A 25,169-nucleotide genomic window follows, 5' to 3' on the forward strand; every position below is an offset into this window, starting at 1 on the left:
GTATCAGTGCTGTGTATCTGTCTCTGTGTATGTTTGTGTGAAATTGTTTTCTTTGATTTACCTTGTTCTCTTTCAGTTTGTCCTTATAGTTGGGTTGTTCCTTATCTTTCCAGATAGCGTGTAAATCCTCTTGAAAACAGCCACTGGGTTTTTACCTCCTTGTAGGATGCCCAGGCTCTAGCATAATATCTTCTACACAGTGAGCACTCAGTGAATACTTGTCGTTTTTCACTGCTTTAAGTTTGACTTATTTTTGTTCAGATGCTGCCTGACGTCATGATCATTTCAGAAAGGTGAGGGAGCTCTAAGGGGGCTTGGAGTTATGTAGGGTAGTGAATCAGGCTTTTGATATACTACATTACTATGATCTTTGCATGAGACAGGTGATGAAATACCAAAGCGTATATACTTTTCTAAGATTTCAGTCTTCTTAAACCTTGAAAAAGTAGTTTTTATAAGTCTGGTTTTATTGGAAAAGCAGTAAGTGCTATAATTATTCATTTACTTTCTTCATCTTAGCACTTCTACTGAAAAGGAAAAAAAATGATTCAAAATCTTTCCAAACTTCTAATGTGAAATTGTTTTTCAGTTAAAATCCAATGCAAACATATTGAACCCTATTTTAATCCTACATAATTCATTTTATTAACTATGACCAAATAGAACATCTGTTAAAATTCCATAATGCTAGCTTCATGGGAAAAGAAAAAAATCCCTGTTTGCTCTTGGAAGTTGTCCATTGTTTTATTATTCAGGCTTTCAGTAAATGTGTAATGAGACATTCTTTTTGATGGAAATATTAAACAAATGAAAATGAAATTTCCTCTTTTATCATAGAGGTTTATAAAATGAGTCACTTAATTGCATTTACATTATTATAACTTTACCGTAGAGATGTTCTATGAAGAATGAATGCTGGTTCATTTGATTCATTCTTTAATTCAAGAACCTAAAATTATTACTCCTCAAACCTGGACTTTAGCCTTTAGTTTTTCATCATCTCTTAAATAAGCAAATATTTTTAGGAAGAACAATTGAGTAAAATTATCTTAATGTGGAAGTATTACTCTAGCCCTTCAGTGCATAGTTTCTCATGTTTCGTTTACATGAAACCAGCTGCTATTTACTTTTTTCATTCCTTGGACAAATTTCATTTACGCTGTGAAGTGACTTGAAAATGCTACATATTTCCATTGTTGCATGTTGGCCATGTTGTCCTGAAGGGGCACCAGTTCCTGTGTGTATGGTTTATGGGATGTAAATGCAATAATATGATGCTTCACTGTAAACACATTGGAAGCTATTGGATACAGGTGGAAATTATCTGTTAATTCTTTATTTAAACGTTGTGACCATAAACCATAGTGTTGAAGTAGCTCTTTGTTGTTGTTCCTTTGTGGTTTTCATCCCATGTGAAATGTCATCTTTCTTCGTCTTCGTGAGTCCATTTGGATTGCATTTAGGCTTCAAATAACAGAAAATTTGACTACAATGGTTTCACCAAAAAAGTTTTCTGTTTTTCCCTTTTGTAACAAGAAATCTGAAGATGATCATTCTAAGGCTGGTGTACTGGTTAGATGAGGGCAAGGAGAATCCAGTCTCTTTCATTTTGCCTGGCTAACTTTAATGCTCTGGCTAATTGACTCATGGTCACAAAATGGCTGTTCTGCTTTCAGGCATCATAGTTCTATTCCAGAACTATGAAGAAGGGGAAGGGCATGAGGCAGTACTAACTTTATCTGTCCTTTTGTTTATCTCGAAAACAAAAACTTTCCTGGGACAGATGGTATCTCAGGGCCTTTATGAGTTGCGTGGGGATTGGGAAGTTGAGTATGTAGCTTTTCACTGTAGTAGATGAAGTCAGGCAAAGGGTGGACTGGGGGCAGTGGTACTACCGTTACTGAGTCACCCCATAGGATCTGCCGTATTCTGTCCCTTCAAACCCTTCCAGCTAAAGTTTCATCTCTTCAGAAAGAAGACCATTTCATACATCTCTAGCTTCAGCCCACATGTGGGCATCCATCGTTGTTAAGATCCATGAGTAATTGTCTGTACCACTATTTTTTTTTTTGGTCATTCTCCTCTGTAAATGGAAATGTCTGTTCGTTTTCTTTTTCTGCCACCTTTGTTCTTTTGGGCACTAGTGTAGAAACTCATCTTTAAAAATTATTTGGTGGTCTCACTGAAATTGAAGACATGAATTTACTTCTGATTTATTTACTTTTATATGTAGTTTTGATTTTAAAGTTAAAATCTGAGAATACTTCTTATATTGATATATTCATATGTAAACACCTAAAAAATGTGTGTCATTTTAGATGGAAATAAACTGTTTACATTTACCAAGTACTTAAAATGTTCCAGTCACTGTGCTAAGTTGTTTACATACATTATTTCACATAATCCTCACAGCAGCCCAAAATGCGATCCCTACTTGACAGAAACTAAAGCTTGGTAAGTTTGTGGTTGGCCCAGGGTCTCATACCAGTAAGGGAGAGATCAGAGGACTCCAGAATCCATGAACTTAACCTTTATGGTGAGCTGTGTATTTTACATTTTATAAACAGATAAATTTTTTCTGGGGAGGAAAATATGTATTTAAAATGAGTAATCCATATTTATATCTGTAGTCTTTAAGCCTTTAGATAGGCGTTAGTGCCAGGAGTTTGGGGAAACTGGAAGTCTACATGATATTAAAAATAAATTAATTAGAGGAAATAAGCAAGTGTAAGGAATCTGTGTTGATGGAAGTGTTCATGAAGAACTGTGGCTTGTAAGTGCATATTATCACGTTTGCGTGATTTTCCTTTATCTAGGTGTTAGTTTACATGCCCCTTCTCTGAGGGACCTCCTGTGATCACTCCAGCTAAAATAGACCTACCCCATCCCTGATCACTCACCTGTTACCTTTGCATGCACTGATGTTTGAAATTACCTTCATTTCTTGTTCAAAAATTAATTACTGCTGCAAACAGGGACAATTTGACTTCCTCTCTTCCTATTTGAATACCCTTTATTTGTTTCTCTTGCCTAATTGCCCTGGCCAGAACTTCCAACACTGTGTTGAATAGGAGTGGTGAGAGAGGGCATCGCTGTCTTGTGCCAGTTTTCAAAGGGAGTGCTTCCAGTTTTTGCCCATTCAGTATGATATTGGCTGTGGGTTTGTCATAGATAGCTCTTATTATTTTGAGATAAGTCCCATCAATACCTAATTTATTGAGAGTTTTTAGCATGAAGGGTTTTTGAATCTTGTCAAAGGCCTTTTCTGCATCTGTTGAGATAACCATGTGGTTTTTGTCTTTGGTTCTGTTTATATGCTGGATTACATTTATTGATTTGTGTATATTGGAGCAGCCTTGCATCCCAGGGATGAAGCCCACTTGATCATGGTGGATAAGCTTTTTGGTGTGCTGCTGGATTCGGTTTGCCAGTATTTTATTGAGGATTTTTGCGTCAATGTGCATCAAGGATATTGGTCTAAAATTCTCTTTTCTGGTTGTATCTCTGCCTGGCTTTGGTATCAGGATGATGCTGGCCTCATAAAATGAGTTAGGGAGGATTCCCTTTTTCTATTGATTGGAATAGTTTCAGAAGGAATGGTACCAGTTCCTCCTTGTACCTCTGGTAGAATTCGGCTGTGAATCCATCTGGTCCTGGACTCTTTTTGGTTGGTAAGCTATTATTGCCACAATTTCAGATCCTGTTATTGGTCGACATGATTGTATATCTAGAAAACCCCATTGTCTCAGCCCAAAGTCTCCTTAAGCTGATAAGCAACTTCAGCAAAGTCTCAGGATACAAAATCAATGTACAAAAATCACAAGCATTCTTATACACCAATAATAGACAGAGAGCCAAATCATGAGTGAACTCCCATTCACAATTGCTTCAAAGAGAATAAAATACTTAGGAATCTAGCTTACAAGGGACGTGAAGGACCTCTTCAAGGAGAACTACAAAGCACTGCTCAATGAAATAAAAGAGGATACAAACGAATGGAAGAACATTCCATGCTCATGGATAGGAAGAATCAATATCGTGAAAATGGCCATACTGCCCAAGGTAATTTTTAGATTCAATGCCATCCCCATCAAGCTACCAATGACTTTCTTCACAGAATTGGAAAAAACTACTTTAAAGTTCATATGGAACCAAAAAAGAGCCCGCATCGCCAAGTCAGTCCTAAGCCAAAAGAACAAAGCTGGAGGCATCACACTACCTGACTTCAAACTATACTACAAGGCTTCAGTAACCAAAACAGCATGGTACTGGTACCAAAACAGAGATATAGATCAGTGGAACAGAACAGAGCCCTCAGAAATAAGGCCGCATATCTACAACTATCTGATCTTTGACAAACCTGAGAAAAACAAGCAATGGGGAAAGGATTCCCTATTTAATAAATGGTGCTGGGAAAACTGGCTAGCCATATGTAGAAAGCTGAAACTGGATCCCTTCCTTACACCTTATACAAAAATTAATTCAAGATGGGTTAAAGACTTAAACGTTAGACCTAAAACCATAAAAACCCTAGAAGAAAACCTAGGCAATACCATTCAGGACATAGGCATGGGCAAGGACTTCATGTCTAAAACACCAAAAGCAATGGCAACAAAAGCCAAAATTGACAAATGGGATCTAATTAAACTAAAGAGCTTCTGCACAGCAAAAGAAACTACCATCAGAGTGAACAGGCAACCTACAAAATGGGAGAAAATTGTTGCAACCTACTTATCTGACAAAGGGCTAATATCCGGAATCTACAATGAACTCAAACAAATTTACAAGAAAAAAACAAACAACCCCATCAAAAAGTAGGCAAAGGATATGAACAGACACTTCTCCAGAGAAGACATTTATGCAGCCAAAAGACACATGAAAAAATGCTCATCATCACTGGCCATCAGATAAATGCAAATCAAAACCACAATGAGATACCATCTCACACCAGTTAGAATGGCGATCATTAAAAAGTCAGGAAACAACAGGTGCTGGAGAGGATGTGGAGAAATAGGAACACTTTTACACTGTTGGTGGGGCTGTAAACTAGTTCAACCATTGTGGAAGTCAGTGTGGCGATTCCTCAGGGATCTAGAACTAGAAATACCATTTGACCCAGCCATCCCATTACTAGGTATATACCCAAAGGACTATAAATCATGCTGCTATAAAGACACATGCAAACGTATGTTTATTGCGGCACTATTCACAATAGCAAAGACTTGGAACCAAGCCAAATGTCCAACAATGATAGACTGGATTAAGAAAATGTGGCACATATACACCATGGAATACTACGCAGCCATAAAAAATGATGAGTTAATGTCCTTTGTAGGGACATGGATGAAATTGGAAATCATCATTCTCAGTAAACTATCGCAAGGACAAAAAACCAAACACGGCATGTTCTCACTCATAGATGGGAATTGAACAATGAGAACACATGGACACAGGAAGGGGAACATCACACTCTGGGGATGTTGTGGGGTGGGGGGCGGGAGGAGGGATAGCATTAGGAGATACATCTAATGCTAAATGATGAGTTAATGGTTGCAGCACACCAGCATGGCACATGTATACATATGTAACTAACCTGCACATTGTGCACATGTACCCTAAAACTTAAAGTATAATAATAGTAAAAAAAAAAATTAATTACTGCTGTCTTCCCTTCACTAGAATGTATGCATCAGGAGGGCAGATGCCTCCCGTTTTGTTCCCTACTATTAATCTAACACCTAGAAGAGTGTGGCACATAGCACACTCAGAAAATATTTAACAAACCAATGACTTAATCATACTTGCTTCTCAAAAGCAGACCAGTTTTAAGTACTTAGGTATTAAGATCTCCAGATACATTTAGCAAGAATTATGGAGTTCTCACTAAATTCCTAGGCAAGCTAATGGTTTTCTGCCAGATAAACTGTCTGTACTTCCATTGAGATTAATTTTCTTATCATATTTACTGCTGTCTACATATAGCTCTTATTTTAATTTTGTCTTTTCTAGTTACAGTTACTCCTGTAACTATTTCATATATTCAAAACAGTTTTTGAAGTGACACATGAAAATAATAAAACTTATGAAGAAGATCCTTCATTAGGTGTGTGCGAATTATCTCCAGTGAATACCGTGTGGGTCAAGAATTACCCTTGATGTTCTCATTACTGTATACTGTCTTATTGTCTGAATAAACACCATCTTATATGGAGTATTAAGAGACTATATATGTAAGAAAACTAAATTTGAAGGTCAAATGTAGTTTTTTAGATGTGTAATTAAAAAATAGCAATTGGAATCATTCAAAGGAAATTAAAATGTTTATCTGTGGGTTCGACTACCTGGCTACAGATTACTTTGGGATCACATAATGAAAATAGTTAAAATTTGAATACTAATTATGATTGTTAACTTTACATATATTTTCCTAATCCTTAAACTGTAAGACATCAGCCTGTTTGTACAGATCATAAGCAGAGGCTTAGAAAAATTAAGTAATACAACTAGGAGGTGGCAGGACTGGAATTGGAGGTCAAGTTTGTATAATTCCAAATCCTGTGATTCTTATTACACTTTGCTTCCTGTTTGTGTCTTGCAGATAAATTCACTGATAGAATTTTTCAGTAAATCCTAAGAAAATAATGTGATGGGGGATCTACAAGACTTGAACCAAATCTTGACCTGAGTGAGAGTGGAGCACAATTTCTGAGTGTTAGAGGATTCTAAAGGATAGAAATGGAACTGTTTGTATGGGCAGAACACAATGAGATGCTTCTAAAACAGCCATTAATATTGATTTCAGCATCCTTTTTCGTCTGGCCTTTGTGAGGGGTGCTTAAAAATGTTTTGACTGATTGTAGTCTGTCCTTTTTTGTTCCCTGTGCTGCATCATATGTTCTGAGAAACAGTAGAGTAGGTGGGAAAAGGTTGATAATCTTTGGCCTTGAAGTGGTTTTGGTATACATAGCCAAGTAACTAGCAGATAATTTATTGACTAGTGGAGAAGCAGAAATTTTTGTGAGGATTTTTTTTTTTCCCTTTTTGAATATACTCTGCTTTTTGTTATTCAACTTGTCAGTGCAAAACTGACATTATAGAAGAACGCACTAGAGGGCGCACAATGCCTGTATTTTAAATGTTGGTGGCAAAAACCTCAGCATGAACTTGGAAGCTGCTTCCTGGCACTGTTTGAAAAAAAAAAAAAAAGGTTCAAATTAGAAAATGTAAATTTAAGCATAATAGTGTTTTCCGATCAAGATACCTGAATGGATAAATTTGTGTTATCTTTTGATACATATGTACATGGAGTTGTATTTATTTGGGTTCTAATTTTTTAAAACTTTTACCATGGAAAAATTTAAAGACACACAAAAAAGATTACTAAAATGAATCCCTGTAGTCTCATCAATTACCAGCTCTTGAGCAGTATTGTTCCATCTATACCAAACCCTGCTTCCCACATGTCTGTATGATATTGAAGCAAATACCAGACATTCTGATTTCATCCAGAAATACGTCACTATGCATCTCTAAAAGATAACTGTAAATATGTATAATGTATCAAAAATGAGTGTCATAACAGAAAGACAAATATTGTATTATATGTGTAAACTAAGAAAGTAAAATTCATAGAAGCAGAGAGTAGAACCATGGTTCTCGGGTGTTAGGGGGTGGGTAAATGGGGAGATGTTGTTCAAAGGGTACAAATTGTCAGTTATAGGATCAGCAGGTTCTGGGTATTTAAGGTACAGCATGAAAAGTGATGGATGTGTTAATTAATTTGATTGTGGTAATCATTACACATTGTGTATCAAATCATCACATTGCTCACTTTAATATATATAATCTTTATTTGTCATTTATTTTAAAAAACGAATATCATAGTCTAGAAGTATTTCCCCAAAGCTATTTATCACTTACAAAGGGGAAAATAGTAATTTTACAGTTGGAAAGACTGGCAGTCACTATTTTATCCAAGTGATCAAGATTAGCATCACCAGTAATAAGATTATATTAACATCATACATCTCTAATATAATGCACCAAGAAGGACACAATGTCACTTCTTTGGTCTTCTTGCCAAAGATGCATAATCTCAGTGTGATCATGAGAAAACATCACACAAACCGAGATTGAGAGACATTGTACAGAATTGTCAAAGTTATGATAAAGAAAGATGAAAGAACTGCCACAAATAAGAGAAGACTAAGGAGACACAACAAGTAAATGCAGTGTAGGATCCTGGATTTGATCCTGGAACAGAAAAGATTTTGGGAAAAACTGGTAACATTCAAAATCTGTAATTTAGCTATTAGCATTGCAGCAAAACTGGTAGCTGGTTTTGATAAGTGTACTGTAGTTAATTTATTAACATTAGAGAAGCCAGCATATATGTGAACTCTGCTATTTATGCAACTTTTATGAGAGTTTGTTTTTAAAAAACAAACTAAAATGCCACATTTGGACATTGTATGAAGTACTTGTTTTTAGAGTCATCTTCTAAAATAATGACAAGTTAAATTTAAAATTTAATTTCTTTTATTGTTAACTTGTATTAAAATAATATATGCAATTAGTAACAACCCAAATAATGTAGAAGGACTTAAGATGAAAAACAACAGTCTCCTGCCCATCCCTCTCCATTCTGGTTCCACTCTCTAGAGGTAGCCTTTATTTTTTATTTTTTAAAATTTTAACTGTTTTATTTTTAGTTCTTATTTCATCGGTGCTTTCAGATAATATATTATTTAAATGTCTGTTTTAAAATTTGTCAGTAGATAAAGTTTGTTGAGTCTTTGGGATGGAAGATGTGATTAAGCTCACATTATGTTCTTCCCCAACCCTGTCTCATCCTAGCATTCCAGTTATATAAATTTCATTCCTCTGTTCATTTTAGAAACTTTAAGTTATATATTCGTTTCTTTATTTCTTATCCTACGAACTTTCTGCATCTTACAACTTTCTCTTGACATGATGAGGCTGTTGCTTTCTTTTTGCCACCTTGTCCTCCTTAACCTGCAAATTTCACTTTCTGGAAAGACTTCTCTCAACTATACTTTCATTGTACATTGTCAAGAGGGTTGACAATTTCATCCTGTCTTTTACCCTCAGTCACTTCTTTCATAGCTCTTCTGTATTGATTCTAAAAGTGGAGTACCGGTGAACTAGTGTTTGTATTATTGAGAAGACTTCATGAATGATCAGACCATGTAGTGTGCTAAGGCTGTATTTTTTTTTGTGTGTGGGACTTACACCCTGAGAGATGGTTTCAGCATCAGAATCAAATAGACCTTCTTGCACTCTATCAGTTGCTAAAATTTAATTTCCAACATTTGGGGCATGAGCTTGTCTTTTTTTCTTGGAGTTTCTAATTGCCTTTTCTGTATGAAAAAGGCATTATTTGCATTATTTTTAGGTATGACAACTTTGAAAACATACTGTCTTTTGTCCTGAGTCCCCTTTTACCCTGGGAATCTTGGAATCTTTCATTCTCCTGTTCTAATCCTGTGTTAATATTCACTGTGTTTGGGCTTCTATTCTTGGGTCAGATTTGCTGTTTCCTGAAGGCCGCATAGCATAGTGGTTCAGACCAGGGCTTTGTGGTCAGGCAGCCCAGGTTTTGCCAACAGCTCTGCCTCTGTTAAACTTACACCTGGTGCTACAGTGTCCTCATTGAATGAAAATGCTTTCAGATATGAAAAATATAAGAATTTAGTCCATTTGTTTGAAGGCTTTTATTTGATTCTGATTTTTTTGGGGAGGTGGGGTCAGGTAATTATCTTTCTCTAGTGCCTATTATTTTACAAATATCTCATTAAAGACAGCCGATGATAACCATTCTCATGATTCTTTGGCCTCAAATGTGTTTCACTGGTTTGTTTTTTATAGTAGGAAGGAATTATGTTAATGTTATGATTCTTAGAAAAGTATTTTGATCTTATTAGTTTAGTGTGTATCCTGATTATGTTTTGGAAATAAGTGGTTAAATTGATCTGTGGGAGTCTTACAAACTGATTACCAAGTTTCTGATACAGCTTGCCTGTGTCTTGATCCACGTATTGTAAGTCTTTCCTATTATCAGTGAATTTTTCCATACTTCTGTTTCAGAGAATGGAATGATGACTAAGTTAAAAATCACTTCGGGACAAAATTTATTATCCTTCACAGGGTAAATGACAAACATGTCATTTACCTGGTAGAGGATACCAATAGTATCTGTGTTCACAGTCAGCTATGCTATGTTTCATGTTGACTAACAAAGATCTTGTGATAATTAGACTCTGCTGATTTATCTTTTTGTTCACACAATGGTTTTCCAAGGTTTTCTCATCCTTTTAGACATTTAATATTAGTTTGAAAAAGTAGTGAGAACAACACATCTCAATCATTAAGTTTTGATGAAGTGAAGACACCAAAGGTCTGGTATATAGTTGCCTCTTGGTAAGTGATAAGTTCTTACCACATTATTTTTCTGTATTTGAAGGAGAAAGTAGGTTGAATTTATCCAGCATCTGCCATATGCCAGATGAGGTACTTTTCATATATATTTTTTTCATTTAATCTTCACAGTAATTCTCAATCATTATTGCCAACTGAGTAATTGGAAAGTAAGTACCTCTTGAATACCTTGTCATGATTCCCAGTCAATCTGTAATGTTCATCTACCTTGTAAACCATTTTATATGCTAACAGACATTTCTCTGTTTAATACCAGTGAGAAAGCTGACCTTTGGTGGTGTAACTTGATCTACATAAAGCACGAAACACTGTTAGTGGAAGGCAGAGTTGGTCTCTGAATTCTTTGAACTCTTAACGCTCGTCTAGTAACAGCATATTTATTTCCTTTCTACTCTTTGAGGTATGAGTGAGGAAGTTTGAAATGCATAGTAACACCACCTTTTTCTTTTTTTTCTGCCTTTCCAGCTTTTTTGAAAAATTACAATTTATAGAAAAGGTAAAACGTGTATTTTTTTTCCCCAGGATTCACCAGTTAACATTTTGCTTAATCTGCTCTGCTCCTCTTTCTTCCTCTTTTTTTTCCTGAAATATTTTAAGTAAGTAGCAGACAATTTGACACTTATCATTTAGTATTTCAGCATGTCTCCTAAGAATGGAGTCCTACTTCTCATAACTACAATGCCATTATCACACCCAAGAAATTTAATATTCACTAACTAATATTATCTAATATGTGGTCAATTTCCCTGATGTCCCAGTGATAAAAGCCTTACAGCTTCTTTCTCTACTCAGGATACAAGTGAACAAATACATTGCATTTGGTTGTCAGGGTCCCCAACCTTTTTTATTTCCTCCATGACATAGACTTTTGTAGAGTCCGAGATATTTATCCTGTAAACGGTCCCATAATCTGGATTATCTGAGTTCCTTATGATTAGACTCAGGTTAATTGGTTTTTTTATATGAATACCTAAGTATTTTGGGGTGTTTCTCATTGAGTTATACCAGGAGGCACAAAAAGTCTTACACTTGGTGAGTTTAATGGTTTGATTAAGTTGTTTTCGTTTGTTATACACTAAAGGTTCAATTATCCTTTGATGTTAAGAGGCAATCTATGCGGTAATATTTTGAGAACAAGTGATTATCCCATTCCCCAATAAATAGTTTTAACATCTGTGGATACTTCTTGTCTGAAGCATTTGTTACATTGGTGATTGCAAAATAATGATTTTCCTAATACTGTCATTTTTCTATGAATTTGTTAGCTGGCATTCTTCTGTAGGGAAGAGTTTCCTCCCTTGCCCTCCAGATCCTTTTTAAAAAATCCCCATGGACTCATGGATTTTAAAAAAATAGCCTAATTGAGTTAGAATTCATGTACCAGACAGTTTACTCGTTTAAAGTGACAGTTCAAGGGATTTTACTATATTCATAAGTGTGTGCAATCACCACCATAGTCATGGATTCTTTTTTTGTTCGGTAATTATAGTCTATTACCATTAGTATTATTCTTTTGATACTTAAACTGTCCCATATTTGTCCAGTGGGGAGCCTCTTCAGCCTACTTCTGTGTTCATGTGACATTTCCCCGTTAGTCCTTTTTTTTTTTTTTTTTTGAGATGGAGTGTCATTCTGTTGCCCAGGCTGGAGTACAGTGGCATGATCTCAGCTCACTGCAACCTCCGCCTCCCAGGTTCAAGCGATTTTCCTGCCTCAGCCTCCCGAGTAACTGGGATTACAGGCACGCACCACCACACCCAACTGATTTTGCATTTTTTTTTTTTTTTTTTTTTTTTTTGAGACGGAGTCTCGCTCTGTCGCCCAGGCCGGACTGCGGACTGCAGTGGCGCAATCTCGGCTCACTGCAAGCTCCGCTTCCCAGGTTCACGCCATTCTCCTGCCTCAGCCTCCCGAGTAGCTGGGACTACAGGCGCCTGCCACCGCGCCCGGCTAATTTTTTGTATTTTCAGTAGAGACGGGGTTTCACCTTGTTAGCCAGGATGGTCTCGATCTCCTGACCTCATGATCCACCCGCCTCGGCCTCCCAAAGTGCTGGGATTACAGGCGTGAGCCACCGCGCCCGGCCTGATTTTGCATTTTTAGTAGAGTTGGAGTTTCACCATGTTGGCTAGGCTAGTCTCGAACTCCCGACCTCAAGGGAGTCGCCCACCTTGGCCTCCCAAAGTGCTGAGATTACAGGCATGAGCCACTGTGCCAGGCCCCCATTAGTCTTTGAGAACCTCCTTGCTGGTGTAGCAAGGTATCTTAGTCTTACCTTGTACTCTCCCTGCCCCAGTCCTGTAATCAGCCCCTCCCCAAGGGGGCCTTGATTCCTTCTGGTGGGGAGTGGTATTTAGAAACTATAGGTGTATCATTGCATCTAGGCTCTTTTATTGGGCAGAAAAAAAAATTAAATTATTTCATCTTTCCCATTTCATATATTTACATCAGGCAAGAAGAACACAGAATTATGATTTATTTTAAGAATTATACTGTAAACTTCTTTCCGGTGTTCAGTGCTGTGAATTCAGCGTACGTATAGATTTGTATAGCCATCATCACAATCAAGATACAGAACATTTCCATCACCCCAAAGTCCCTTCTGCTAGCCGATGCATACCCATTTCCCTGCTTCCTACTGCTGGCAACTTTAGCGATCTGTTCTCCATCACTATAGTTTTTTCTGTTTGAGAATGTCATTTAAATGGCATTACAGAATATACAGCCTTTACAGATTGCCTTCTGTCACTCAGCGTAATGCCTTTGAGATTCATCCCAGTTATTGCATGTATCAATAGTTTCTTCCTTTTTATTGCAGGGTGGTATTCCATTGTTAGGACGTATAGTGGAATACAAAAATTATGGTTTATCCTTTGATCTATTGAAGGACATTTGACTTCTTTTGGTATCATTATTAAGAGAATTCCTGTTAATAGTCATGTATAAGTTTTTGTGTGAACATCATTTTCATTTTTCTAGGGTAGAAATGCAGGAATGGGTTTGCTGGGCCATGTGGTGAGTGTATATTTAGCTTTATTAGAAACTGTGAACTCTTTTCTTTTCTTTCTTTTTTCTTGAGACAAGGTCTCACTGTGTTAACCCAGGCTGAGTGCAGTGGCGCAGTCTTGGCTCACTGCAACCTGTTTCCCGGGCTCAAGTGATCCTCCTACCTCAGCTTCCTGAGAAGCTGGGACTATAGACATGTACCACCATACCTGGCTAATTTTTGTATTTTTTTGTAGAGATGGGGTTTCACCACGTTGCCCAGGCTGGTCTCAAACTCCTGGGCTCAAGCAGTCTGCCTACCTTGGCATCCCAAAGTGCTGGGGTTATTAGGCCACTGTGCCTGGCCCAAACTCTTTTCTGTAGTGGCTGTACAATTTTACATCCCCACCAGCAGTATATGGTTAGCACTTGATTACTGTCAGGATTTTTATTTTAGCCATTTTAGTAGGTGTGTAATAATACCCCATAATGGTTTTATTTATTATTGTTTTAATCTTAGTTGACTCTTGAATCACAAAAGTTAAATAGTCCAGAAAATAAATTTATTTGCAAAAAAGAACCACACATATTTATGAGAGAGAAACTTTCTATAAGACTCTAAGTTTAGAATATTGAGACTTCTATCTCTTGAACATGGTATCTCCATTTACTTTAATCTCCATTTTCTTTAATGTTTCGATAATACTTTATAAATTTGTTGACCGTTTTGAATTTTCTTAATTTATTCCTAGGTAATATTTTCTGATGCCACTGAAATGTTATCTGTGTCTTCACTTTTTTATGCTAAAATATTTTAAAGTCAATTAATATTACACACTTAAATATTTCGGGATAGACTGGGCATGGTGGCTCATGCCTGTTATCCCAGCACTTTGGGAGGCTGAGGCAAGAGGGTCACTTGAGCCCAGGAGTTTGAGACTAGCCTGGGCAACATAGTGAGACCATGTTCCTACAAAAAATTTTTAAAAAATTGCTGCCTGTGGTGGTGCACACCCATAGTCCCATTTACTTGGGAGGCTGAGGTGGGAGAATCACTTGAGCCCAGGAAGTGGAGGCTGCAATGAGCTTAGATTATGCCACTGTACTCCAGTCTGGGCAATAGAGCAATGTTAGAAAGAATGCTGAGTGCTGGAACTCTAATCCATTGCTATCAGAGAGGGAATAAAGTCCTTCTGAAAAAATAGTTTCATATGATACAGTAAAACTGAAGATCCATATAAGCTGATTTTCTCCACCACTGGCAGGTGTATACCTAACAGAAATGCACATGTGCACCAAGAGACACATGCAACAATATGCATATCAATATTGTTTATAACAGGAACAATTTGAGATAAATGTTTCTCAATATGAGAAAAAATAAACTATGATATGTAAGTGCATGGAATAATACACAGTAGTGTAAAAAGAACAAACTGCAGCTCTTGCAACAACATGGATCAATCTCAACAAATTTCATAACAAGAGATGCAAAGTCATATAGGGTAAGTGCTCATACACAGTTCAGAAGCAGTGCTTGCCACATTTTCAAATGGTGCAGCAAATATATATTTATATCCATCTATTGAGATATCAAGAAAACACGGCGAAAGGTTAATAATATTTGGGAATCTGGGTGAAGAATATGCAAAAATTCATTGAGCTATTTTGTTACCATTTTGTAGGTTTGAGATTTTTCAACATAAAAGGATAGGAAAGAGTTAAAAATCAGATTAAAGCTAATTTATATGGTTTTGGAGTACAAACATGGGTAGTAAAATGATAAGAAAATACCACAATTAAGGATAGTACCAACTCTGGGAAGAAGGATGAACTTTTGCTGAGGAAGAGCCTAGTAGGGGTCTTCTGGTGCTGGTCATTTCTTTACCTGAGTAAATGTGTGAGCTTTCCTTTATAATTATCTATTAAACAATCCATATGAATTATATGCATTTTTCATATACATATTTCACAGGAGAAGAAAGGTAAAAACAGTGTAATGAGGTATATAAAAATACTTTCAAAGAAAGATTGCTATCCACTTGTTAAACATTATTATTATTTTTTTTAAAAAACCCTGCATTTGCTTTGTAACAAGCGAAGTAAGGGGATTTTTGCTATGTGAGTTGTTTACCTGAGATAAATTTATCAAAGGCACTTACTGAGGACCAATTTTTGAGGCTACCAATATAATGTCATCTTACTTTTACATAAGGTAGTTCTTATACAGCTATCAATTCTGAATCTTGTTTAGTTTGGTAATACTAGGTAATAAATTCTTTTAAATAATCCCAGGCTGGAGTGCAGTGGTGTAGTCATGGCTCACTGCAACCTCTGCCTCCCGGGTTCAAGTGGTTCTCCAGCGTCAGCCTCCTGAGTAGCTGGGACTACAGGCACCCACCAGCACTCCTGGCTAATTTTTGTATTTTTAAATGAGATGGGGTTTTACCCTGTTAGCAAGGCTGATCTCCAACTCCTGACCTCAAGTGATCTACCTGCCTTGGCCTCCCAAAGTGCTGGGATTACAGGCATGAGCCACCACGCCTGGCCCAAAACTTGTTATATTTGAAGCCAGATGTATTCTGGTGTTTCTGAGGCCTGGAACGAACCACATTGCCCTTCTGGGAGCTAACCACAGAAACAAGCACCCTGCCCTTACTAGAGGGGAAATAATGCAGGGAAGACCAACAAACTACTCCCAGGAGTTGATGCTGTTTCTCATAGTGGTTTTAATTTTCAGTTCCCTAATGGCTAATGATGTTGAACATCTTTTCATATGCTTATTTGGCATCCTTGCATCTTTTTATCGTGAAGTATCTGTTCAGTCTTTTTCTCATTTTTAATTGTACGGTTTCTTTGGGAGTTTCGAAAGTTCTTTATATATTTGGAATGCTCATCCTTTGCCCTTAGGTGATTTGCAGTATTTTCTAATAATCTGTAACTTGTAATTTCTCTAAACAGTATTATTTGCAAAGTTAAAGTTTTAAATTTTGGTAAAGTTCAGTTCATTTTTTCTTTTATGAATTGTACTTTGGATGTCATCTCTAGGAACTCTGCCTAACTCTAAGTCATTAAGGTTTTCTCCCATGTTTTCTTCTAAAAGTTTTATAGCTCTATGTTTTACATTTACATCTATAATCCATTTTGAGTTGATTTTTATTTAAGGGGTGAGGTTTAGCTCAAAGTTTGTTTTTTGCATATATAGATGTCTAGTTATTCTAACAGCATTTGTTGAAAAGATTTTTTTTTTCCTCACTGAAATGCTTTTGCATCTTTTAAAAAAATCAGTTGGCCAGATTTGTATGGGTCTGTAGCTGGAAGAAATATATATATTAAGGAATCTGTATATATAGGTTCCAAGCAATGTCTTTATTTTTCTTTATTTAGGTGTTTGTTTTCATATTTTTGAATATCCCAGTCTTGAAAGATGATGTTTTGATTTTCTGAGACCTTTCCCTTCGTTTTTTAATTTAATTTTCTTTTTCTCGAGACAAGGGTGTTGCTCTGCCACCAAGGCTGGGGTGCAGTGGCGTGATCTCAGCTCACTGCAGCCTCCCTTCTGGATTCAAATGCCACCTGAGTAGCTGGGATTACAGGTGTGCACCACCATGCCCTGCTAATTTTTGTATTTTTAATAGAGGCGGGGTCTCACCATGTTGGCCAGTCTGGTGTTGAACCCCTGGCCTCATGTGATCTGCCCAACACAGCCTCCTGAAGTGCTGGGATTACAGGCATGAGCCACCGTGCCTGGCCTGTTTGTTTTTTTTAATTGATATGATGGCTATCTTAAAAAAGTCTCAAAGCAGGCTGGGTGCGGTGGCTCACGCCTGCAATCCCAGTGCTTTGAGAGGCTGAGGTGGGCAGATCACGAGGTCAGGAGATTGAGACCATCCTGGCTAACACGGAGAAACCCCATCTCTACTAAAAATACAAAAAATTAGCCAGGCGTGGTGGCAGGCGCCTGTAGTCCCAGCTACTCAGGAGGCTGAGGCAGGAGAATAGCGTGAACCTGGGAGGCGGAGCTTGCAGTTAGCCCAGATCACGCCATTGCACTCTAGCCTGGGCGACAGAGCGAGACTCCGTCTCAAAAAAAAAAAAAAAAAATCTCAAACTGTTTTCTGTCTTTTCTCTCCTAAAACATCTCTTTGTTCCTTTTTCTTTTTTAAGTGATAGAAAGGACTGACTTTTTAGTCACTGTTTTTACAGTTCAATAATTCGGTATCTTTCACTTTTTTTCTGTCTCTATTTTTCTGAACATGCCTATTTTCTCTTGCATTACTATACTGTTAATATGTAGACAGTGGATTAGAAGCTCAGTTCTTCCTCTTTTTTGATTCATAATATAGTTACTATTACTTCCTTATATAGATTGTGCCATTAGTTTTTAAAATTCTTGCTGTTGCATTATCATGTAGTAAAAATAATTTCAACATTCACCTACGGGAATGAGGAAAAGGTGCTGTGTATTTTGTTTTATCCAAGCACGAAGGATCTTTGCTTTGAGTTGTCTTCCTTACAATATCCTATAAAATACATAATCTGAAGTGAGTTGCTAAGATTACTGTTTACTTTGTGCTGAAATAAACCTAGAACCTAAATTATTTGCTTCTTATTGTAGCACTGCCTTCTTAGAATTGAAACTCTAAAAATCATGGAATTAATGTGAAGTTTTTAATGCAGAGGACAGATTATAGAAATTTTCTTTGTACACTATCACTCAAACGTTTGCTGTAGTTTTGAGAATAATATTGTTACTGAAGTGGTGACCCAGTAATTTTTAGTTCACCAGAAAACATTTATAGAGTAAGTGTAGGGTACAGAGGTGTAGAATTAGCCATGTGTGGATGGGACAGAGGAGAGAGATTCTGCCCCTAGACAGCTTCTCCTATTTGTGTGTGGAAATTCATGGATATTTGTAAAGCAGTTCATTAGTAGTTGAACACTCAGTAATTGGATATTTTAAAGTGTTGGAGTACTGACAAGATAAGAACAAATAGACAGTGAAGGAGTGAATCCCTGTCTCTGAATGAGTTGAATTCTGGGCAGTCCTTTTAGACAACTTAGAAAAAGGAAGGGTAGAGTAAAGGAATTGATATGTTGACATTGGAAAGCATTTTTTTTAAAAAAATTAAACTTTAAGTTCTGGGATACATGTGCAGAATGTGCAGGTTTGTTACATAGGTATACATGTGCCATGGTGGTTTGCTGCAACCATCAACCCGTCTTATACATTAAGTATTTATCCTGATGCTATCCCTCCTGTAGCCATCCCCTACCCCTCGACAGGCCCCAGTGTGTGATGTTCCCCTCCCTGTGTCAATGTGTTCTCATTGTTCAACTCCCACTTATGAGTGGGAACATGCAGTGTTTGGTTTTCTGTTCCTGTGTTACTTTGCTGAGAATGATGGGTTCCAACTTCATCCATGTCCCTGCAAAGGACATGAACTCATCCATTTTTATGGCTGCATAGTATTCAATGATGTATATGTGCCACATTTTCTTTATCCAGTCTATCATTGATGGGCATTTAGGTTGGTTCCAAGTCTTTGCTGTTGTGAATAGTGCCGCAATAAACATACTTGTGCATGTGTCTTTATAGTAGAATGATATATAATCTGTTGGGTATATACCCAGTAATGAGATTGCTGGGTCAAATGGTATTTCTGGTTCTAGATCCTTGAGGAATTGCCACACTGTCTTCCACAATGGTTGAACTAATTTACACTCCCACCAACAGTGTAAAAGCATTCCTATTTCTCCACATCCTCTCCAGCATCTGTTGTTTCCTGACTTTTTAATGATTGTCATTCTATCTGGCATGAGATGGTATCTCATTGTGGTTTTAATTTGCATTTCTCTAATGCCCATTGATGATGAGCATTTTTTCATATGTTTGTTGGCCACATAAATGTCTTTTTTTGAGAAGTGTCTGTTCATATCCTTTGCCCAGTTTTTGATGGGGTTGTTTGTTTTTTTCTTGTAAATTTAAGTTCCTTGTAGATTCTGGATATTAGCCCTTTGTCAGAGGGATAGATTACAAAAATTTTCTCCTATTCTGTAGGTTGCCTATTCACTCTGATGATAGTTTCTTTTGCTGTGCAGAAGCTCTTTAGTTTAATTAGATCCCCTTTGTCAATTTTGGCTTTGTTGCCATTGCTTTTGGTGTTTTAGTCATGAAGTCTTTGCCCATGCCTGTGTCCTGAATGGTATTGCCTAGGTTTTCTTCTATGGTTTTTATGGTTTTAGGTCTAACGTTTAAGTCTTTAACCCATCTTGAGTTAATTTTTGTATAAAGAGTAAAGAAGGGGTCCATTTTGAGTTTTCTGCTTATGGCTAGCCAGTTTTCCCAACACCATTTACTAAGTAGGGAATCCTTCCCCCATTGCTTTTTTCAGGTTTGTCAAAGATCAGATGGTTGTAGATGTGTGGCGTTATTTCTGAGGCCTCTGTTCTGTCCCTTGGGTTTGTATATGTGTTTTGGTACCAGTACCATGCTGTTTTGGTTTACTGTGCCTTGTAGTATAGTTTGAAGTCAGGTAGCGTGATGCCTCCAGCTTTGTTCTTTTGCTTAGGATTGACTAGGCTATGCAGGCTCTTTTTTGATTACGTATGAAATTTAAAGTAGTTTTTTCTAATTCTGTGAAGAAAGTCAATGGTAGCTTGATGGGAATAACATTGAATCTATAAATTACTTTGAGCAGTATGGCCATTTTCACGTTAATGATTCTTCTTATCCATGAGCATGGAATGTTTTTCCATTTATTTGTGTGGTCTCTTATTTCCTTGAGCAGTGGTTTGTAGTTCTCCTTGAAGAGGTCCTTCACATCTGTTGTAAGTTGTAGTCCTAGGTATTTTATTTCCTTTATAGCAATTGTGAATGGGAATTCACTCATTATTTGGCTGTTTATCTATTATTGGTGTATGGAAATGCTTGTGATTTTTGCACATTGGTTTTGTATCCTGAGATTTTGCTGAAGTTGCTTATCAGCTTAAGGAGATTTTGGGCAGAGTCGATGGGGTTTTCCAAATGTACAATTATGTCATCTGCAAACAGAGACAATTTGACTTCCTCTCTTCCTATTTGAATACCGTTTATTTGTTTCTCTTGCCTGATTGCCCTGGCCAGAACTTCCAATACTCTGTTGAATAGGAGTGGTGAGAGAGGGCATCTTTGTCTTATGTCAGTTTTCAAAGGGAATGCTTCCAGCTTTTGGTCATTCAATATGATACAGGCTGTGGTTTTGTCATAAACAGCTCATAATATTTTGAGATACGTCCCATCAATGCCTGGTTTATTGAGAGTTTTTAGCATGAAGAGATGTTGAATTTTATTGAAGGCCTTTTCTGCATCATTTGAGATAATCATGTGGTTTTTGTCATGGTTCTGTTTATGTAATGGATTACATTTGTTGATTTGCATATGTTGAACCAGCCTTGTATCCCAGGGATGAAGCTGACTTGATCATGGTGGATAAGCTTGTCGGTGTGCTGCTGGATTCGGTTTGCCAGTATATTATTGAGGATTTTCACATTCATGTTCATCGGGGTTATTGGCCTGAAATTTTCTTTTTTTGTTGTGTCTCTGCCAGGTTTTGGTATCAGGATGATGTTGGCCTCATAAAATGAATTACGGAGGAGCCCCTCTTTTTCTATTGTTTGGAATAGTTTCAGAAGGAATGGTACCAGCTCCTCTTTGTACCTCTGGTAGAATTCGGCTGTGAATCCGTCTGGTACTGGGCCTTTTTTGGTTTGTAGGCTATTAATTACTTCCTCAATTTCAGAGCCTGTTATTGGTCTATTCAGAGATTCACCTTCTTCCTGGTTTAGTCTTGGGAGGGTGTATGGGTCCAGGAATTTATCCATTTCCTCTACATTTTCTTGTTTATTTGCATAGAGGTGTTTATAGTATTCTCTGATAGTAGTTTGTATTTCTGTGGGTTCAGTGGTGATATCCCCTTTATCACTTTTTATTGTGTCTGTTTGATTCTTCTCTCTTTTCTTCTTTATTTGTCTGGCTAGTGGTCTATTTTGTTAACCTTTTCAAAACATCAGCTCCTAAATTAATTGTGTTTTTGGGGGGTTTTTTTGTGTCTCTTTCTCCTTCATTTCTGCTCGTAGTTATTTCTTGTCTTCTGCTAGCGTTTGAATTTGTTTGCTCTTCTCTAGTTCTTTTAATTGTGATGTTAGCATGTCTATTTTAGATCTTTCCTGCTTTCTCCTGTTGGCATTTAGTGCTATAAATATGCGTCTAAAACACTGCTTTAGCTGTGTCCCAGAGATTCCGGTACGTTGTGTATTTGCTTTCATCAGTTTCAAAGAACTTATTTATTTCTCCCTTAATTTCGTTTTGTAACCAGTAGTCATTCAGGAGCAGGTTGTTCAGTTTCCATGTAGTTGTGCGGTTTTGAATGAGTTTCTTAATCCTGAGTTCTAATTTGATTGCACTGTGATCTGAGAGACTATGATGATTTCCATTTTTTTACATTTGCTGAGGAGTGTTTTACTTCCAATTATGTGGTCAATTTTAGAATAAGTGCGATGTGTTGCTCAGAAGAATGTATATTCTTTTGATTTGGGGTGGAGAGTTCTGTAGATGTCTATTAGGTCCCCTTGGTCCAGAGCTGAGTTCAAGTCCTGAATATCCTTGTTAATTTTCTGTCTTGTTGATCTGTCTAATATTGACAGTTGGTGTTAAAGTCTCCCACTGTTGTTGTGTGGGCATCTAAGTCTGTTTGTAGGTCTCTAAGAACTTGCTTTATGAATCTGGGTGCTCCTGTATTGGGTGCATATGTATTTAGGATAGTTAGCTCTTCTTGTTGCGTTGATCCCTTTACCGCTACATAATGCCCTTCTTTGTCTTTTTTTATGTTTGTTGGTTTAAAGTCTGTTTCGTCAGAGACTAGGATTGCAACCGCTGATTTTTTTTGGTTTCCATTTGCTTGGTAAATATTCCTCCATCCTTTTATTTTGAGCCTATTTGTGTCTTTGCACATGAGATGGGCCTCCTGAATACAGCACACTGATGGGTCTTCACTCTTTATCCAGTGTGCCATTCTGTGTCTTTTAGTTGGGGTCATTTAGCCTGTTTACATTTAAGATTAATATTGTTATGTGTGAATGTGATCCTGTTGTTACGATGCTAGGCAAAATAACCTATTAATTGATGCAGTTTCTTCGTAGTGTTGACGGTCTTTACAATTTGGTATGTTTTTGCAGTGGCTGGTACCAGTTGTTCCTTTCCATATTTAGTGCTTCCTTCAGGAGCTCCCATAAGCCAGGCCTGGTGGTGACAAAGTCTCTCAGCATTTGCTTGTCCATAAAGGATTTTATTTCTCCTTTGCTTATGAAGCTTAGTTCGGCTGGATTTGAAATTCTGGGTTGAAAATTCTTTTAAGAATGTTGAATATTGGCCTCCACTCTCCTCTGGCTTGTAGGGTTTCTGCAGAGAGACCTGCTGTTAGTCTGATGGCTTCCCTTTGTGGGTAACCCGACCTTTCTCTCTGGCTGCCCTTAACATTTTTTCCTTCATTTCAACCTTTGTGAATCTTGACGATTATGTTGCTCTTTCTCGAGGAGTATCTTAGTGGTGTTCTCTGAATTTCCTGAATTTGAATGTTAGCCTCTCTTGCTAGGTTGGGGAAGTTCTCCTGGATAATATCCTGCAGAGTATTTTCCAACTTTGTTCCATTCTCCCCGTCACTTTGAGGTGTGCCAATCAAACGTAGGTTTGGTCTTTTCACATAGTCCTATATTTCTTGGAGGCTTTGTTTGTTCCTTTTCATTCTTTTTTTCTCTAATCTTGTCTTCACATTTTATTTCATTAAGTTGATCTTCAGTCTCTGATATCCTTTCTTCTGCTTGATCTATTTGGCTATTAATACTTGTGTATACTTTATGAAGTTCTAAAAATGTGGAAAGCTTCACGAATTTGCATGTCATCCTTGCACAGGGCCCATGCTAATCTTCTCTGTATTGTTCCAATTTTAGTGTATGTGCTGCTGGAGCCAACGCGGAAAGCGTTATTTTTAAAAAGTGTGCTTAACTGCCTTTAAGGAGTATTTTTTACTTGTACTTTGAATGGTACTAAAACATTGAGCCTGGGCTTTCTTCATGAAATCATATACACCAAACACCCCTTTGGGGTTGGGATTTTTGTTAATTCTTTTTTTTTAAAATTTAAATTTACTTTAGGTTCAGGGGTACATGTACTGGTTTGTTATGTAGGGAGACTTGTGTCATGGAGGTTTGTTGTACAGATTATTTTGCCACCCAGGTACTAAGTCTTGTGCCCATTAGTTTTTTTTTTTTTTCCTGATCCTCTCCCTCCTCCCAGCCTCCACCGTCCGATAGGCTGCAGTGTCTCTTATTCCCCTCCGTGGATCTATGTGTTCTCATCATTTAGCTCGCAATTATAAATGAGAACATGTGGTATTTGGTTTTCTCTTTCTGCATTAGTTTGCAAAGGATAATGGCCTCTAGCATCATCCATATTCCTGCAAAGGAAGTGATGTCGTTTTTTCTTACGGCTGTATAGTATTCATGGTATATATGTACCACATTTCCTTTATCCAGTGTTTTATTACGGGCATTTAGGTTGATTCCATGTCTTTGCTGTTGTGAATAGTGCTGCAGTGAACATACGTGTGCATGTGTCTTTATGATAGAAGGATTAATATTCCTTTGGGTATATACTCAGTAATGGAGTTGTAGCCCTGTAATAGAGCTTGAAGTCTGGTAGTGTGAGGCCTTTAAGTTTGTTCTTTTTGCTTAGGATTACCTTGGCTACCTGGGCTCTTTTTTTTTGTTCCATATGAATTTTAAAATAGTTTTTTTCTAGTTCCGTGAAGAATGTCAGTGGTAGTTTAATAGGCATAGGGTTGAATCTATTATATAAATTGCTTTGGGCAGTATGGCCGTTTTCACAATATTGATTCTTCCTACTCATAAGCATGGAGTGTTTTTTCATTTGCTTGTGTCATCTCTGATACCTCTGAGCAGTGTTTTCTAGTTCTCCTTGTAGTATCTTTCACCTCCTTGGTTAGCTGGATTTCTAGGTATTTTGTTCTTTTTGTGGCAGTTGTGAATGGGAGTTCATTCCTGATAGGTCTCTTGGCTTGCCGGTGTATAGGAATGCTAGTGATTTTTGTACGTTGATTTTGTATCCTGAGACTCTGCTGAAGTTGTTTATCAGCATAAGGAGCTTTTGGGCCGGGACTATGGGGTTTTCTAGATATATGATCATGTCATTTACTGAGTTTTTAACATGAAGTGGTGTTGAATTTTATTGAAAGCCTTTTCTGTGTCTATTGAGATAATCATGTAGTATTTGTTTATTTATTTATTTCATGCATAACTCCTCAAGTTAGAGGGAGAAAATAAAATTGCGAGTCAAGGTGGAATTTGTTTGGAAGGCTCTGTGTGATGTTCTCATATAAATTATAGAAATGAGTAGTCTTAGAATATCAGCATTAAATAGAACTTTTAAAAAAATTCATGTAGCAGTAGGACAAAAGAAAAAGGTGTAATTAGCTAGTTAACACTCTGTCTACTATGTAGTAACCTATTTACTATGGGTCATTTACTGATTACCACACGTAATTGTTAGGAAAGTCTTTGTAGCAAAAATGACCATGATGCTCCAGTTTGTGGACAGTAAAGAATCCACTTTGCTTTTGGCTCTTAGTTGTAGGATTACATTTAAAAGATCTCAAATGAATTTACTCTCA

At 37.2% G+C, this 25,169-nt stretch overlaps 1 protein-coding gene and 1 pseudogene across 26 annotated transcripts in view; one reads left to right on the forward strand and one right to left on the reverse strand.

The window, feature by feature from the left end:
- The window catches only part of SLC25A26 (solute carrier family 25 member 26), a 245,318-nt gene that overhangs the window by 136,157 nt on the left and 83,992 nt on the right, over nt 1-25,169 (forward strand). The window contains exon 6 of one of the 26 annotated variants that reach the window (XM_011533328.3): nt 6,599-9,846. The exons of the other annotated variants lie outside the window; for them this stretch is intronic. Coding sequence (XP_011531630.1) covers nt 6,599-6,634 — 36 coding nt within the window. The 3' untranslated portion in view covers nt 6,635-9,846. Of the gene's footprint in view, nt 1-6,598; nt 9,847-25,169 lie in introns of those variants that run through there. 26 annotated transcript variants of the gene reach the window in all.
- On the reverse strand, nt 23,348-23,454 carry RNU6-787P (RNA, U6 small nuclear 787, pseudogene; annotated as a pseudogene).

Source organism: Homo sapiens, chromosome 3 (assembly GCF_000001405.40).
Source record: "Homo sapiens chromosome 3, GRCh38.p14 Primary Assembly".
In the NCBI taxonomy this organism is placed as follows: Eukaryota; Metazoa; Chordata; class Mammalia; order Primates; family Hominidae; genus Homo; species Homo sapiens.